The sequence below is a fragment of the Homo sapiens genome, chromosome 7, assembly GCF_000001405.40.
Source record: "Homo sapiens chromosome 7, GRCh38.p14 Primary Assembly".
NCBI lineage: Eukaryota > Metazoa > Chordata > Mammalia > Primates > Hominidae > Homo > Homo sapiens.
This window is the reverse complement of record NC_000007.14, coordinates 25673576-25690118: the sequence shown is the minus strand read 5'-3', so window position 1 is coordinate 25690118 and position 16543 is coordinate 25673576. Positions and strand designations below refer to the sequence as shown.

Sequence of the window (16543 nt, the reverse complement as noted above, 5' to 3'; positions counted from 1 at the left end):
TATTCCTCCTGAGTACCTGATCCAGAGCTCAGACATTTTTGGAAGTGACTTGGCCTGATCTTTTATCTAACTGTCTAATTTAGAAAACCACAGATTGTCTGAACTTAAAGGGAATCAAAGGCAAAACAAGAGTGAGGCGGCTGAGCTACAGACGCAGAGATGCAGATCTTTGTGAAGACCCTCACAGGCAAGACCATCACCCTCGAGGTCGAGCCCAGTGACACCACTGAGAATGTCAAGGCCGAAATTCAAGACAAGGAGGGCGTTCCACTTGACCAGCAATGTCTGATATTTGTGGGCAAACAGCTGGAGGATGGCCGTACTCTCTCAGACTGCAACATCCAGAAAGAGTCCATCCTGCACCTGGGGCTGCACCTGTGAGGTGGCATTATTGAGCCCTCTGCCAGCTTGCCCAGAAATACAACTGCGACAAGATGATCTGCCGCAAGTGCTGTGCTTGCCTGCACCCCCGTGCTGTCAACTGCTGCAAGAAGTGAGGCCACACCAACAACCTGTGCCCCAAGAGGAAGATCAAATAAGGCTCTTCCTTCCCCCAAGGGCAGCCTCCTGCCCAGGCCCCATGGCCCTGGGGCCTCAATAAAGTGTCCCTTTCATTGACTGGACAAAAAAAAAGACAAAACAATTCAACACACCTTTTTTTTGCAGTTGATGAAACAGAACTAGAGAGGCTAAGTGGCTCACCCCAGTCAATACTGAATTGGTGACAGAACAACGGCTAAGCCCAGAGCTCTCATCGGTGGTTTATTTTCTTTCAGCTGCCTGCTGATGGGGAACATTTGTGGGACTTCTTTGAATGCCGTCTTGGGAAAATATAGTGAAGTGGGATCAATCCCACCCCAACTCTCTCTCTCTGTTTATGTCTCTCCCTCGCTCTCTTGCACACACATAGACACACAGGGTATTCCAGTCACAGTTCCAACAACTCTGTGACTTCGCTTGGTCACTTAGCGAGCTAAGGCTCAGGAGTGTACTCTGCTTCAGGGAGATGGTGATACCTGTGCTGGCTGTTGCATGTATTCCATGAGATGATATATGTGGAAGCCCTTCATGAGATGTAAAACCCTATAGCTAGTGTAACTGGGTGGTAGTAACAGAAGATTTTAAAGCAAAGCTCCGAAATGCTTGTTCACACAGTTTTTTGTGTAGGTACAAGAAATCTCATGAGGTTGTGAATCCCGTGGTTTCATTTGCATAATTCATAACTCTGTAATATGATATTGTCTTAACCAAATAGTTAGCCTTCTCCCGGTCTTTTCTTCATCCCTTGCAGTCTTTTAAGCCAAATTCTCAATTTCAGACCTTGCTGGAAGTCCCCTTGGACCTTCGGTTTGTTTTTTCAAAGCTAGGATAAAAAGAGTTTAAGATATGGACATGTCTAAGAAAAATATACTTATTGCTTTGGGCCTTTTCTTTCATTCTGTGTTATTTGGCAAGCTTGTTCTATTTGCTTGAGCTGTGGGCTGGGGGTTAGGAGACTGACTGGGTTTTGATCCCTGCTCTGCTCTGTGTCGCTTTGGACCTGGTACTTAACCACTGTAGAAAATTAAAAGGCCGGCTCAGTGGACAGCCTGTTTTGGTCAGTTCAGGCTGCCATAACAAAGTGCCATAGGTGGATTGGGAGTTTAAACAACAGAAACGTACTTTTTCACAGTTCTGGTGGCTGGAAAGTGTGAGATGAGGGTGCCACCATGGTTAGGTTGTGCTGAGGGCTCCCTTTCTTGCTTGCAGATGACCATCTCCTCACTGTGCATTCACACGGCAGAGACAGACAGACAGTTGGCAAAACCTCTAGTGTCTCCTTCTCTCTCTCTCTCCCCCACTTTTTTTTTTTTTTGAGATAGGATCTCACTCTGCTACCCAGGCTGGAGTGCAGTGGTGCAACCTCAGCTCACTGCAGCCTCGAGCTCCCGGGCTCAGGAGATCCTCCCGCCTCAGCCTTTCTGGTATTTGGGAACACAGGCGCACACCATCATGCCTGGCTAAATTTTTGTATTTTTTGTAGATACAGGGATTCATCATGTTGCCCAGGCTGGTCTTGAACTCCTTGACTCAAGTCATCCACCCGCCTTGGCCTCCTAAATTGCTAAGATTTGAGGCATGAGCCACCACACCCAGCTGGTGTCTCTTTTTGAAAGGACAGCAGTCCCATCGTGAGGATCTCACCCTCATGATCTCATCTAAACCTAATTATTTCCCCAAGGTCTAATATTCAAATACCATCACATTGGGGGTTGCAGCTCCAAAATATTAATTATTTGAGGGGGAATACAATTTAGTCCATAGCAGGCCCCTTGCAGTCTAAAGGCTGCAAGTCTATATTACATGTGAGGTGTAATGCTAAGTACTGTGAGATACCAGAAAATTTGTAGTACAGAAAATCCAAAATACAACTCACTCCTTGGGAGCACAGCCTGTTTGGAAAGCAAACATAACACAAAGCAATGTGAGAGGAATCACGCGAAAGGAGCAGAGACAACAAGGGCCTGTAGCAGTTCGGGAGAGAGAGAGAGAGAGAGAGAGAGATCAATTCCTACTGGAAGAATCAGGAAGGTCTTCCTGGAAGAGGTGGTGTTGAGTTTGATTTTGAAAGATGGCAAGATATCCACAGATGACTATGGGTATGGGGTGAGTGACAGGCAACAAGAACAAAGATGGAAAAATGCTTTTTGGAGAACAGATGAGCCTGAAGCTTAGCAGGGGATAGTCCTGGAAATACTGGTTCAGTCCACCCAGTTCTGAAAGCAAATGTGTGATGACTGGAGAACCTCTTCAGCAAATAAATAAACAAAGTGGGCTTTGGGGGAAATTAACTCAACTACAGAGAGGAGAGTTGCTTAGGGCAGAGAGGAGATGAACAGAGAGGCCAGTTTGGAATCTAGAAATGTGGCTTGTAGATTTCTCTTAAACATCTGGAATGTATATTCAAAAAAAAAAAAAAAAATCAAGCCGTGGATTTCTTCACTGCTGGAAAACCACCATCACCCTTCTGGTTTTGGCTTCTGCTTTGGGTGATCAGATTTATTTCCTCTTATCAAGAGTTATATTCCCTTTGCATAATAGACAGAGGCTCTGGGTGCATCCGGAGAGGTGTCTGTAGTCAAGACAAGCTGTCATTTCTAAGAGCAGCAGAAACAAGGGCAAGGGCTGGCATTTCACTGGTCCCTGCATACCTCATTTCTGGGAAGGGCAGGAGTGAACTTGGTGGGGCAGGAGAGCCTGAGGCAGACTATGTTCTACATTTTGGGAGCTGTCATCCTCAGGGATGAAAGACTGTCGATTCAGTTTTCAGTACCCTTGACGTCTGCAAGTTGCTTTTGTAGCCTGAAATTCCTCAGGCCTCTTCTTCCTGGTGTAGGAAGGTTGCCACCTTGACATGAACCATCAGACTTGGCTGCCTCACTGTGTCCGGCTGCATGACAGAAGTGCCTCTGCCCTCTGCCCTGATTTTATTTATGGTTGTGTTTCACATGGGCTCAGGACAGTTCTCACAGGTTCTTTACTTAGGTTTCCTTGTTAGTGTCTGTTTCCTGCAAAGCCACTTGAGAATGCTGTTTCCTGGGGACTTTCATGCCCTCTTTCCCCGTGGCTGCCTTGAACACCAATTGTCAGAGCTTCCAGTGGTGCCAGAAGATCCCAGGCCCCCTTCCGGACTCACTGTGCTGGAGCCACTCTGTCGTCTCTCCTGGGGCATTGGTGCCTCTGCTCAGGGCCCTGAAGCATGAACCTTCCTTCTTCCAGGTCTCACTCCTCATGCCAATGAACACCAAACCCCTTTGATTCAGAAGTTCTCTAGACATGGCCAGACTCTGAATCCTAGTTTAAGCCAAGCCGATCCTGAGGACTCCCACCCCCACACCAGCCCCTATAAGGCATGTGGCTACTGCACTTTGTTTCTTATCCAGGTGGCAGGACAGGGAAGCAGGTGCTAGAGGCACCAGCAGCACCACTCCCAAGGTGTCGGGGTGAAAGTGTGGCAGAAAGTTGCACAGTTGCGTGTTGATGTGAAGTATCCTCCAGGGAAATTTCATTTTCAAAATGCCAGGACTGACTGTGTTTTCATAGAACCAAGGCAGAGCTTCCGTTCTCAGAGGGTGGGCTTTGGAAACAAGACAGCCCGCTGCTGAGTCCAGGAGTTGTCTCTTTGGGACATTCAGGGAGCTAAGGGGACACTGTTGCTGGTCGGTTGCCCTGAGCAGGAACTTCTCAGGCAACGTCAGGGGACTGGGGGCCCTGGGAAGGAAAGTGGGCTAGGGGAAATGCCCTCAGCTGCAGGTCAAACTGTGTCCTGGTGTTGGGTGTAACATGGTATGTAATAAAGAGTATGAATTGGTGGAACAGCTACCCTGTTTTTCCATCACAGCATGGGGCTTCTTTTCAGTTCCAAGCCTGAGAGTGAATTCTGGAAGGGTGGGGCAGGACGGACCTTTTGGGAAGAAGGCAACTCCTTTGCCATTGGGCCGGCACAGTCCCCAAAGGGTTGGCATCCCTGGGCCCTGCTGGGCAGTGGGGGCTAATGTTTTGTGTACAGAGGGCACAGGAGGCACAGGGGGCACCAGCTTTGAAGCAGCTCTTCAGCTGATGGTCAGTTATTAAACATCTCAACTGAATGGCTCTTGTGGGGAAACAAAGATGAACAGATCCCTCTCCAGGGAATTCACATTCCGTTTGGGGAGACAAACAAATAAATGCAATGAAAAAAATGCTATAACTGAGATGTCCTGTCACAGAGAGTGTTCCTCAGCAGCAGCGGGAGACAGAAGGTAGTAAACATCCCGGGGGATGGTGGCTAGGACTGCCTGTGATCTCCAGGTGGATGGGTGGGGCTTGAGGACATGGAGACAGGACCAAGCATGGGTGAGGAAGGCCATGGGGCACCCCGATGACAGGGGTGCACAGAGCGCAGCTGAGGGTGCTGATGGACGCAGAAATCCGAGGAACTGAGCTTTTCCTCAAGGTGGCAACAGTCAAGGCAGAAAGAGGGCACTGGCGTCCCAAAATGCTGACCTGGGAAGTGAGTCCCAAAGACCCCTGGACAGAGTCACCCCAATTCTGTCTGTGGGGATCTAGTTTTAGGACTTGTGTTCCAGAACGAACTCCTTCTATTTGATGGCCTTCAAAAGTGGTAGGGCCTTGTAGAAATGACTAGTTTAATAGTGTGCATTGTGCATTCACTCAGCTCTCTGGTTTGGAAACATGCCCTTCTAGAAACCTTCCCTTTAAATTTAATTATTTGAATTGGTAATAGAGGCACCTAGTACAAAAGATACAAAAGGATGGTAGATAATGAACAGTAAGTCTCCCTTCTATCCCAGGGACCCAGCCACCCTCTCACCCTCCCTAGAGGAGCCACCGTGTTCAGTTTCTTGTGTCGTCTTCCAGAGATGTTTTATGCACAACATGGCTCTTTCTCTATACACACACCCACAGCACCTATTTAAATGTAAATAGGAACACACCATAAGGTCTTTCTGCACCTTGTTTGTTTCTCCTAGAAATATATCTGGCTCTGGTTCCGTATGAGCTCATATAGAGATTCCTCAGTTATTATAGCTTCTGCTTATTCAGAATATATGTGTCAATATGCATGTGCCTATGGACATATTCAGAATATATGTGGTGCCACAAATATACCTAACATCCATCATTTCACACGAGTAAAGTACTTGTAAAGGGCAATAAATTTCCAGAAGAAGAGTTGTTGGATCACCTTGTAATGAATTTAAACTTCAGGTAAGCATCACCAGGTTGCTTTCTGTAATGGTCATATCTCTTTCCATGCCCACCAGAAATGTCTGAGAGTGCCTGTTGCTCCACGCTCTTACCAACAGATTCTGTTTTTAAACCTCTTGATCTTTGCCACACTGATTGGTGAAAAAATGTTTTCTCATGGCAGTTACCATTTGTGTTTCCTAATATTTTGACAGAAATTGAGCATCTTAAAGAGTACTTTGAAAAATCCTGTACCACTTCAGTCCTTTTTGAAGTAGGCAGAGGATAGAAGGGAACAATATTCAGAAAACAGAGGTCCCAGTCAGATGAGAGATAATTGTAATAAGTTCCTTGAGGACAACCACGTATCCTTTTCCTTTTTATCTTTGTTGGCACACAAAATTCACTATAAATGTGTGTCAGATTGAATTTGTGTCACTTTGGTGTAAGAGGGGAAACTTTTTTCATATCTGCCCTTCAGACTTTGATGTTTCCCTTTCAAGAGTTTGAAAGGGCTTTCCTGGAAAAATTCTGTTCAAAGAGTTCAAGTTTCATTTCTTGTCACAATGTTACTGCTTGAAGGTCCCATTCATCTGTTATCTCCATGACTTTCTTGTTGTCTTTCCTAAATCATCGTGTATCTGTGAGGAAAGTGTCAGAACTGCATTAATCTCAGAATATGAGGAGAAAACATTTTTTGAGTGACATGGACTCCAAATCTTGAAGGAGTGTTTCTCTACAGCCTGTATTTGCTGCCGAATTTTTCATATTGCATTAGCCAATATTAAATGTCAGTGAGTTACAGCTCTTTGGTGCATTCACCTTAACTCTAGGACATTTACCAAAGGAGTTATGATCATGGGATCCCGTGGGAAACATTAGTATTATAATCTACGTTACTGCCAGTATTGAAAATTTTATTAGAATGCAGTATGATATATCAAGATCTCTACAAAAATGAATCGTTTTTGCAATTTGACTTTGCAACCGTTAAAACTTTCCATAAACATAGATCCATGCATCCAATAAAGAGCATACAACATGAAGCTTTTTGTACACTCAAAATATTTCAAATTTTAGGATAAAAATCTTAGTGGTAATAAATTGGATATCTATGTCCCTTGCCCTGCCCCCTTAGGAATGAAAAAATATCTGTTTTTAGTTACCAAGTTTTATGCTGGAAGCCATGTTAAAAAAGATTATGGACAACCTTATTTCCTTTCTTCTTTCCTCCCTTTCTTTTTTCTTCTTCCTTCTTTGGTCATATGTTAGGCAGCTACCATATACTGGCCACTGAGATAGAGTCAGAAGTGTATGTAATTGTGCTTATAAATATGACTGTTTTCACAGTCTTTGCAAGGGCAAATTATTTTCTTTTTCTGTAAACCCTTTTGTTGGCCACAAACACGAAGGAAGGAGCTGATCCCACAGCCTAAGACTGGTGGTAAAACACCACTTTCCTGTACAAAAATCTCACATTCACAGAGGTGCCAGAGTGCTTGAAATTCTACCACTAGAGTTTTTGTCCATTTGGTTTAAAGTATTAGCCCAGAAAGTCCCTGTTCAAGTGCAAGTCTATAACTTGGGATAAATAATGTACACTGATGTGTACTGAGATGTTTGAGATTTTAAAAATTATACAATTAACTATCATCTAGCAGAGAACTGACTCCTAAGGAAAGGGAAACACCAGGTGGGTGACGCCTGTTAGTGGAAGGGATGGACCAGAACATGGAATATTGCTGGGGATTTGTGAGAGTGCACAAGACCAGGGCCCTATAACCTAGATGTATAGACATTGCTCCATTGTCTCTGGATAGTAGAAAACCAGGCCATTGTGGTGTCACCTCGTTCCTTCTCTGGGTATCTGTCCGTCTCCCTTGGATGGTGACTGGAATTTGCTGAGTAAACTCCCTGCCACTAATCAAGACTAACCTCCCTAGGTGGCCTATACCCCATTTCCAACTCAAACTCTCACCCAGGTGTCCTCTCCTCTGTTGACCCTAAGCCATGAGGAATTATTTACTGTTTCCCCCCAAAACCAGCCTAATGCACTTCTTTCCATTGCCTCTGCTCACACTAATTTGTGCTGAGGATGGTTTGCCTGCCCCATACCAATCTATTTTTCAAGTCTCAGTTTGAGAATCACCACTTCTTGAAGACTTTCATGACTTTGCCATCTTCACACCTGCTCCAAGTAGAGCAGACTACTCCCTTCTTTGGGAACTCCGTGAATTCTAGAACACTTCTAGCACAGCATCTATAACTTTTTATAGCACTTACTGGTTTACCTTTCTGTTTCTTTACTAGATTCTAATCACCGTGAGGGCAAGGACTATGTCAAATATATCTCAGTATCCCTAGCTTCTTTTAACACTTGGCAGGTAATGTATGCTTAATGCTTTTTGGCTGAACAAATAACAAATGACTCAATATCTTAGAGAGGGGACCTAGTGATATATAGGATAATTAATAGATTATGGACATGGGGGTCTTGCTTCTTGAAAACTCCATTTGATTAGGTATTTCTTGAGCACTTAACACTTGTGTCACTATGACTTAGTCACAGCTCCCACTTGCTATCAGCCTTATACACTATTTAATGTAATCTTCAGCACAACCTAAGAGGTATGTATTATTATCCCTGTTTTTTTTTGGATGAGGAAATTGAGACTTGGCAAGATTAAGTAATTCACTTAGAATTACACAGCTATTCAAAATTTCAGGCCAAGTCCATGCGAGTCCAACACACTTGCTTTTCCTCAACTGCTGCATGAAGCTAGGTACTGCAGAGGATGTAAAGGTGCTGCAAGCACTTCACAGTCTAATGACAGAGGACAAGCACTTCACAGTCTAATGGCAGAGGACAAGCATATGCCGTGAACTCTTCTAATTCCAGGCATTGGATATCTGCTACAATAAGGGTACAAACAAAAAGGCTGATAACCACGTTTGTATATATACAGAGTTGCCTAGTTTTACTGTCATGATATATAATTAATCTTTATTCATGTATCTCATAAGCAGAGATGAAGAAAAATTCATCAAAACTGGAAGCACACACATCGGGTTGCTACATTAGCATGCTTTGGTTTTGTGCAGAGAACCAAATTCCAGCCAACGATCGCTGGTCCAGGGCTTGCCCAGCTCAGGCGGTATCTGTGGGTGACATAGCCTGAGTTGTGCCTTTGTTTGAATTACTAGCCTTGGCACCAAGGATTTAAACATGGAATAGACTGGCAGGACCGTGGTAGTAGATTAGAATATCTTTGTTAACTTAGAAGTTGTGTGAGGTTGAATTGGAACCAAATCACGCTGAGGTCCTTCAGAATAGATGGTGTGTATATGATAATGAACAAATTGGATGGTTCTTGTGGGAAAGGCACCAACAGTGAATGGGAACACAGCCAAGTGAACACATGAAGACTAAAAATTTGGAAAACTCAGGGAATGGCTATTTGGGGCAAACAGTGGGAAAACATATGGCCACTTAGACTAGACCACCCAGTTGGATCTGCTGATGTGCAAATCACTGTGGTGTGGAGACTTCCCCAGCCAGCCCCATCTCCCCATCTCCTCAAAAAAGGTCTTGAGTGACAGAGGGTCTGGATACAGGGGGCTGATGGTCATCAGGAGAGGAATTCCAGTGGGGTCATCCTGAGGCTAACTTGTTCCCAGTCAAGATGACTTTCTGAGAGGTTGTTCTAGGAAATGATCTGTGCTTTCAGTTTGTTCTTGAGAGGTCTGAGGGGTTAGCTGAAGAGAGGAACCAAAGCAGTTAGGATTAGACTCTGTTGAGGTAGCAGAAACCCCATCATAATAGTGGCTTAATCCTGTGTTAGTTTGCTAAGGATAAAAAATAAAAATTAAAAAAAAAAACCATAAAAAACTAGTAGCTTAAATTATAAAAAAAAGTCTATTTCTCTTTCTCATAAGAGAAGCCCAGGTGTGGCCAGGCGTGGTGGCTCACGCCTGTAATCCCAGCACTTTGGGAGGCTGAGGCGGGTGGATCATGAGGTCAGGAGATCGTGACCATCCTGGCTAACATGGTGAAACCCCATCTCTACTAAAAATACAAAAAAAATTAGCCAGGCATGGTAGTGGGCACCTGTAGTCCCAGCCACTCGGGAGGCTGAGGCAGGAGAATGGCGTGAACCTGGGAGGCAGAACTTGCAGTGAGCTGAGATTGCACCACTGCACTCCAGACTGGGCGACTGAGCAAGACTCCATCTCAAAAAAAAAAAAAAAAAAAAAAAAGAAGCCCAGGTGTGTCAGCTTAGAACACGATTTTACTCTATAATGTCAGGGACCCAGTTCCCTTCTATCCTGCTCAGCATGTGGCTTCCACTTCATGACCCAAAATGGCTGCAGAAGTTCTTGTAATCACATCCTTATTCCAGCAGTAAAAAGGAGAAGAAGACAAAGAAGCACATGCTCCCTCCCTTTAAACATAGTGCCTAGATGTTGTACCCAGCACCCCCTATAGTTGCACACCTAGGTGCAAGGGAGACAGAGAACTATAGTTTTACTCAGTGACCACATGTCCAGCCAGAAATCAGAGGTTCTTTTATTAAAGAAGAAAGAAAGAAAAGATTTTGTAGGACAACCATCAGTCTTTGCTACATTAAAGCAGACAGGAGGAACCTCCTGGAGTTCTTTGGGTAGTAGCAGTAGTACATTGAGTTGGGGCTGGGATCCCAGGGCTGGTAATTCTATATCTGCATCTTGGGCCTGAACAGGAATTGCTGTGTGCTTGAGTCAAAGAGAAGGCAAGGAGGACAGAAAGGGAGTTTGTTTCCTGAAGCATGGCACATAACAAGCACTTGGCTCCTGGGTAGACCCTCCATGTGGATCAGCAACATTTCCTGAGACATGATCCTCAGAGCAGCAGTTCTGCAAAATGGTAGAAGGTATGACTCAAAAGGCAAGGGCCATGGTAAAACAAGTTGGTGCAACACCAATTTATGGGCAGTTAAGCAGGCCACTTAACAGTGAGAAGCCTTAGGACCTTCAATGTGGACTAATGAGCACTACAGAATTCCACCCAAGAGTGGAATGTGGCACACAGCATCTCCCCCTCCTCAAGACACATCTCCAGTGTCCTGTGGAATGTGCCCCATGGATTCTCAGAGATCGGCAGGACAAGGAACTCTGAAGTTGCGTTGCCCAATGCCACCTCTGACAATGTGTGTGGTGGCAGGTTGATGCCACAGAGGGAGATTTGGTGGGGCAGCAAAGAGCAGAAGATGCTGAGGCTCACGTTGAAAAAGGAGGGAAAACCAGGCCTTACGGAGAAGTTCTTTACAGGCAAAACAAGAGGGCAAAGACGTGAGGATTAAAGTAGAAACTCCTGAATAAAATCAGTGTGGAAAGAACCATGATAGATACTTCTCCCAGAATGGCAGAGAGAGGGGGCCTGATCGACCCCACCGAGGCAGTGACCAGCCACGTGCTAAGCCCTGCAGGAGCGGTGGGCTCCTTCCATCTGCAACCTCTGGGGCAACCACAAGAGCTGCAGCTGCTCAGGGGAAACTGCAAGCTAAGACATTTAACTGCAAGCTGCTAAGACATTTAGTCCTCTTGAAATCCATAGTGATTGTCTTTCCCTCAGATTTAAAACTTTGCTCTCAGACAAAACTTGTCCTATCCCCTAAAAGGTGTAGAGAAAGAAACTTTGGTAGTAGTGATTGACAGTGGTGGTGGTGATGCTCAAATATGGTGGAAAGGTGGGCCTGGCCTCCTGGTCTTCCCCTTTTCTCTCCATGGGCTTCTTGGCATTACCTGTGTGATAGGAGCAGGTCTATTTCTTTGCTAATTCCCCTTTGGCAGGTTGCAGAACAGTTGGGGGAGGGACAAAAGAAAAGGTTAAGAGAGAATATCATTTTTCTCTTGCAACACACACCCCTACCCCTTCATCATACATTCTCCTACTTCTGACTCTATCTTTCCACTATTACAGAAATCTGCTTATTTGACACAATCTTCTGAATGCCTGCTTTCCCTCCCAATTTTTTGCGTTCCTATTGTGTACTTTGTCCTTACAGGTTGTTTAGAGCTTGCCTCTTGTTTTCTCTAAATGTTGAGAGGACACAGTTATGGCTTTGTGAAACTGGGCCCCCCAGTGGAGCCACAGTGGTGGCCCAGGCTGGAGGTGGGGCTGGTTCTGGGCTGTGACTGAGGAACTGGTACTAGAAGCGGCCTGAAGTTCCTATGCGTACAAACTTGCCCCAGTTACCTTAAGCCTCCTGAAAGCTACCCATGTGATTATTTTAACCTGATTTCACTGGAGCTTGCTAGATTTTACTTGCTGATTTTACTGGATATGGTCAAGGCGAGAATTAGGGGTAAAGGCAAAGAGACATAAATCCCCTTTCCTGGTGCCCCTCACACCGACCCGGGCACTACGCAGCTCTGCAGAGTGGAGCAGAAAATTCCTTAGCCTTGATTGTTTCTATGTTCATTGGAATTATAAAATGGAGAGCAATTGTAAGTTCTGAGAGAGCCTCTAGTTTCTGCATTTGAAGATTGGTACTACTGCTTGTATTTCTAGATTGACTTGATATGACCTCATAACTTTACCAGAGTTTCCCTAGGGACACTGTTCCATGCCAAGTATGTCGCACTAGGTATGATAATTTGCTCCAAAGCTGTGGAAAACTAGCAAAAGGACAGATAAAGAATTCACCAATGTATAATTCAAGCCTAGTCTGATATTTATTGGATTCATAAGGCTGAATTACTGATAAAAAGAGGGGAAATGAGCAGAATTGTCAGTGCCGTTAATACTGTGTTCCAAAGGGCAGAGGCACTTATACAGCTGGAGAGGACAATAAAAAACATAAGCACGTTAAGGACTGTGGAGGCTCAGTCACCTCTGGCCGGTGTGGCTCAAATAAATCTATATGGGACCCCAAACTTGAGACTTGATAAATGTGCCACTTCATTTCTCTGAGCTGTGTAGTCCATATGGGGCCAAACATGTCAACACTTCAGACCACATCATTTCTGATTTTAGAATTTTTCCAAACGCAGCAGGTATTAAAACCCCAAATCTTGCATGCAAGAAGAAAACTTCTGTGGACGTACCAAGCAAAATGTTCAGCTGCCCGTGACTGCAGAGCGGGAAGACAATACAAGCATTTACAGGCTGGGCCTCCTGGAATCCTCATTGAGAAGTGTTGGATGGAGGAGCCTCCATAGACGCCTGCCCACCTCCCGTCCCCAGTCCCAGACTCCACTCTTCTTTCAAATGTCACACATCAACAGAAGCAGAAGGCTGCTTGCTTTCTCTGAATGAGAAAAATAGCCTCAGAGTTTGCGATTTGTGTGGAGCAGGGAATTTAAACATTTTAAGTTTAATTTCTTATGATTTACCTTCATGAAGTATTTTGGAATCAATCCACATTCAGCTCCCCTCCTATTCCTTAGCCCTTCCTAAGTGGTGCATAACTTTTAGGTCTGGAACAGTTTCAAAACACATGAAGAACTCACTTTTACCGAGCCACTTGGTTTTCAATCATAAATGTCAACATACATAATATACGTATCACTGTCTCACATAACACAATTAAAACATGTAAATACAGGGTCTTTCAGTTAAATCAACTGTGTGAACAAATATACTATTGAATGTTTTACATATGTGCATCTTTAAAAATCATAAACATGCACATCTGTTTAAGTTTTGTGTCTACAAAGTTCACACACAAGTAAAAGTTGGTGATATTATTTTCTGTACCCAAACTGTTTAAAAAGTATGTGTGTTTGTATATGTAGAAAATTCAGGCACAATCTAAAAGCCATATATGTTTCCATCCATATATATGTAAAGTTAAATTACCCATCTTACTTGGCATTTACATCCTTTGTGAACAATATCCTTAAAGGTTGGTTTTTATTGTTTATACTATGCCTGCTGAGATCTGCTAAATATAATTGTGATTTTTGAGGGGTTAAGGTAAAACCAGATCTCTGATGCAAACTCAGACCACACCCTCCTCTGGGCCAACTCTGTGAAGCAGGCTTGGAAGCAGCAGTCACATGAGGTGAGTGGGGACTCAGTGACACCAGAGGCCGCCTCTTCTGGTAAATATTAGTACATCCTGGACACACTGCTGAGAGCTGCCAGTCACACTGCCATTTCTATGGCAGCTGCGGGGCCTGCAGAGGCCAACTTTCTGTCAGGCAGCTCAGCACACAAGCTCAGAAGCTGGGTGTGGAAAGGAAGATGTTTTAATTCTCACATCTACTTCATTAAAGTCAACACATTTTGTGGGTGTCAGTTTCTATCATGCCGCAAAATAATCATCACTTTAAAAAATGTTTGAAGAAGTTGGGATTTGGTAACCATTCTAAACAAACCAGGACCACACCACAAACACATTGGTATTGGGGCCCCTAAATGCAAAGTGACCTCATGTGCTAGAGGGAAGTGATCTCATGGATCCTGATCCACTGCTGCAAATACCCAGAAACCCTCAGGGCTTACATTCATGAGCCTGAGGCCCAAGCACCCTCCATCTCTCTTTCACTCTTCAATGAAAAGAGTAAGTTGGACAAATATACATTATTCCAGTCATAGGATGTCCTATGGTAGCGGGTCACGCACTAATCTCTTGGTCCATAAGACCCAGAGAGGCTGTGATTTGCTCAAAGTCAGAGACATGTCTAGAATCTGGGTCCAGTAACCTTTTAAAATTTTAATTAATATTTGTTTGGAGCAGTTTTCAGTTTACAGAAAAAATTGAACCAAAAGTACATAGAGTTCTCATAGGTCCCCTCTTCCACCCACCCCAAATTCCCCTGTTTTTACTATCTGGCATTAGTGTGGCACATTTGTTACAATTGATGAGCCAATATTGACATATTATTAACTAAAGTTCATAGTTTACATTAGGGTTCATTCTCTGTGTTGTGCATCCTATGGGTTTGACAAATGTATAATGCCACGTATCTGCCATTATAGTATTGTACAGAATAGTTCCACTGCCCTAAAAACCCTCTGCCTCTTCATCCTACTCTTCCTGTAATTGCTGACAACCACTGGTCTTTTTACAGTCTCCATAGTTTTGCTTTTTCCCAAATGTCATATAGTTGAAGTCACACAGTATGTAGCTTCTTTCTTAGTTCTTCTAAGATGAACTTCTTTCACTTAGCAGTATGCATTTGTTTCCTCCAGGTATCTTGGTGGCTTGATAGCTCTTTTCATCACTGAATAAGTACAGCCATCACATGGTTGTATTGGTTTGATCTATTTACATATTGAAGGACATCTTGGTTGCTTGCAAGTGTTGGCAGTCATGAATAAAGCTGCTATTACTGTAGCACATTCCTTCCACATGGACTCAATGTCAAATGTCAAGACTTTGCAAAATCGATTCCTAACAATGGTTGCATTTGGCAATGTTTGGGCCTCATCAAACCTTTGAGTATTATCTGCCCTGTGTAAACTCTGCTTCCAAGAGACTCCTCTATTCTGTCTCTGAACCATCCCTAATGTAACACACCCATTCCAGAGTTGTTCTTTTATTCGTATCCCTTTATCCTATTTAGAATGTTTTTTTCCCCTTTAGTTTTCCAATCTGTATCCTACTCATCCAGGCCTGTTCACATCCTGCCTCTGCTGTGGCAGTCTTCCCTGGATTCCCACAATTTTAAGGCAAAAACTCTAGAAAGAAAATGGGAGGAAAGAGAAGTGAGTAATTTACTTTCTCAATGACAAAATCCCCTCAACATGGAGAAGAGCAGTCAGACAGATGTGCTTCGAATCCTTGCTCCACTACCTTACTGGCTCTGTGCCCTTAGGCAAGTTACTTAACGTCTTGAAGTTCAGTTTTTCCATCTATAAAACGGGTTGAACACTATCAACATTTTGAGTTACTGTGAAGATCTATGTAAAGTGCTCAGAGTACTTCTGACACCAATAAATGATGATGCTCTCCTCTTGCCCCACTTCCTCCTTATCACTATCATCTCCAAATCCAGAAATGATCTCTCCCTCTTCTGCATCCTCACAGCCTTCTATGTGTGTCCTTGTCATGTCTCCAAACTAGAATACATGCATGTGGGGCTGCTTAACTCCTTTGGCATGCACAGTGCCAGGGGCAGGCTTTTTGCGTGTATTCCTTTACATTTTAAATTGGTGAGGTTAAACAGCATTAATCCCTGTGTTTGTAGAACCCTGTTCCAGCTAACCTCTTTCTGTCTGTGTGGGTAACATCCCTAAATACCCTTTTTTTCTGGGGAAGGAGAATAGTTCAAACTATTTCTGAAATAGGGAGAGGACTGTCAATCTCGGCGGGGAGTCAGGGGATGTCTGAGAATTTGCGGCTAGGGTGCACCTATGTTTTTCTTTCAATTACTCATGGCTGAGGATCCAGTTGGAGGATAAATCAGACCCTTCTGTCTTCTCTCTCTGGTTTTGTATCATCGATTCAGGCTAATGCTGGGGAAGGAAATTGAGAGGAAAGCCCAGCTTTGAAACCACATGATGAGTTTTATTGGGGCAAGAAAGTTATAACTGTGGTAAGATTAGAAAAACAAATAACTTGTGTGTAAGTGACCTCCCACCAATCTGGTGATATCTGAGGGTAGCAAATGTAGAAACAGTGCAGCATTATTTATGCACCTTTCCTAATCAAAGTGGGACCTGGGACCTCCAGGAATCATTGAGTCTGTCTTTTGTGCAGGGCACATAATTGGTTTTGGGTTTTATAGTACAGGCCAGCAAACCTTTTCTGTCATAGGCCAGATAGTAAATATTTAGGCTTTGGGGGCCATATAGTCTCTGTCAAAATTAATCTGCTGCTATATT

General features: G+C 43.9%; 1 long non-coding RNA gene and 1 pseudogene across 8 annotated transcripts in view, besides 1 other annotated feature; both read left to right on the top strand.

Annotated features, from left to right (window-relative positions):
• Positions 1-16543, top strand: part of LINC03007 (long intergenic non-protein coding RNA 3007) — a 196819-nt gene that overhangs the window by 100001 nt on the left and 80275 nt on the right. The gene's annotated exons all lie outside the window — the stretch shown is intronic.
• Positions 131-623, top strand: UBA52P1 (ubiquitin A-52 residue ribosomal protein fusion product 1 pseudogene 1; annotated as a pseudogene).
• Positions 327-828: an enhancer, noted in NCBI's record as "H3K27ac hESC enhancer chr7:25728911-25729412 (GRCh37/hg19 assembly coordinates)". NCBI's record gives its function as "activates a minimal SCP1, AML or CMV promoter by ChIP-STARR-seq in naive H9 embryonic stem cells {active_cell/tissue: H9 hESC(naive)}" and the evidence as "EXISTENCE:reporter gene assay evidence [ECO:0000049][PMID:30033119]".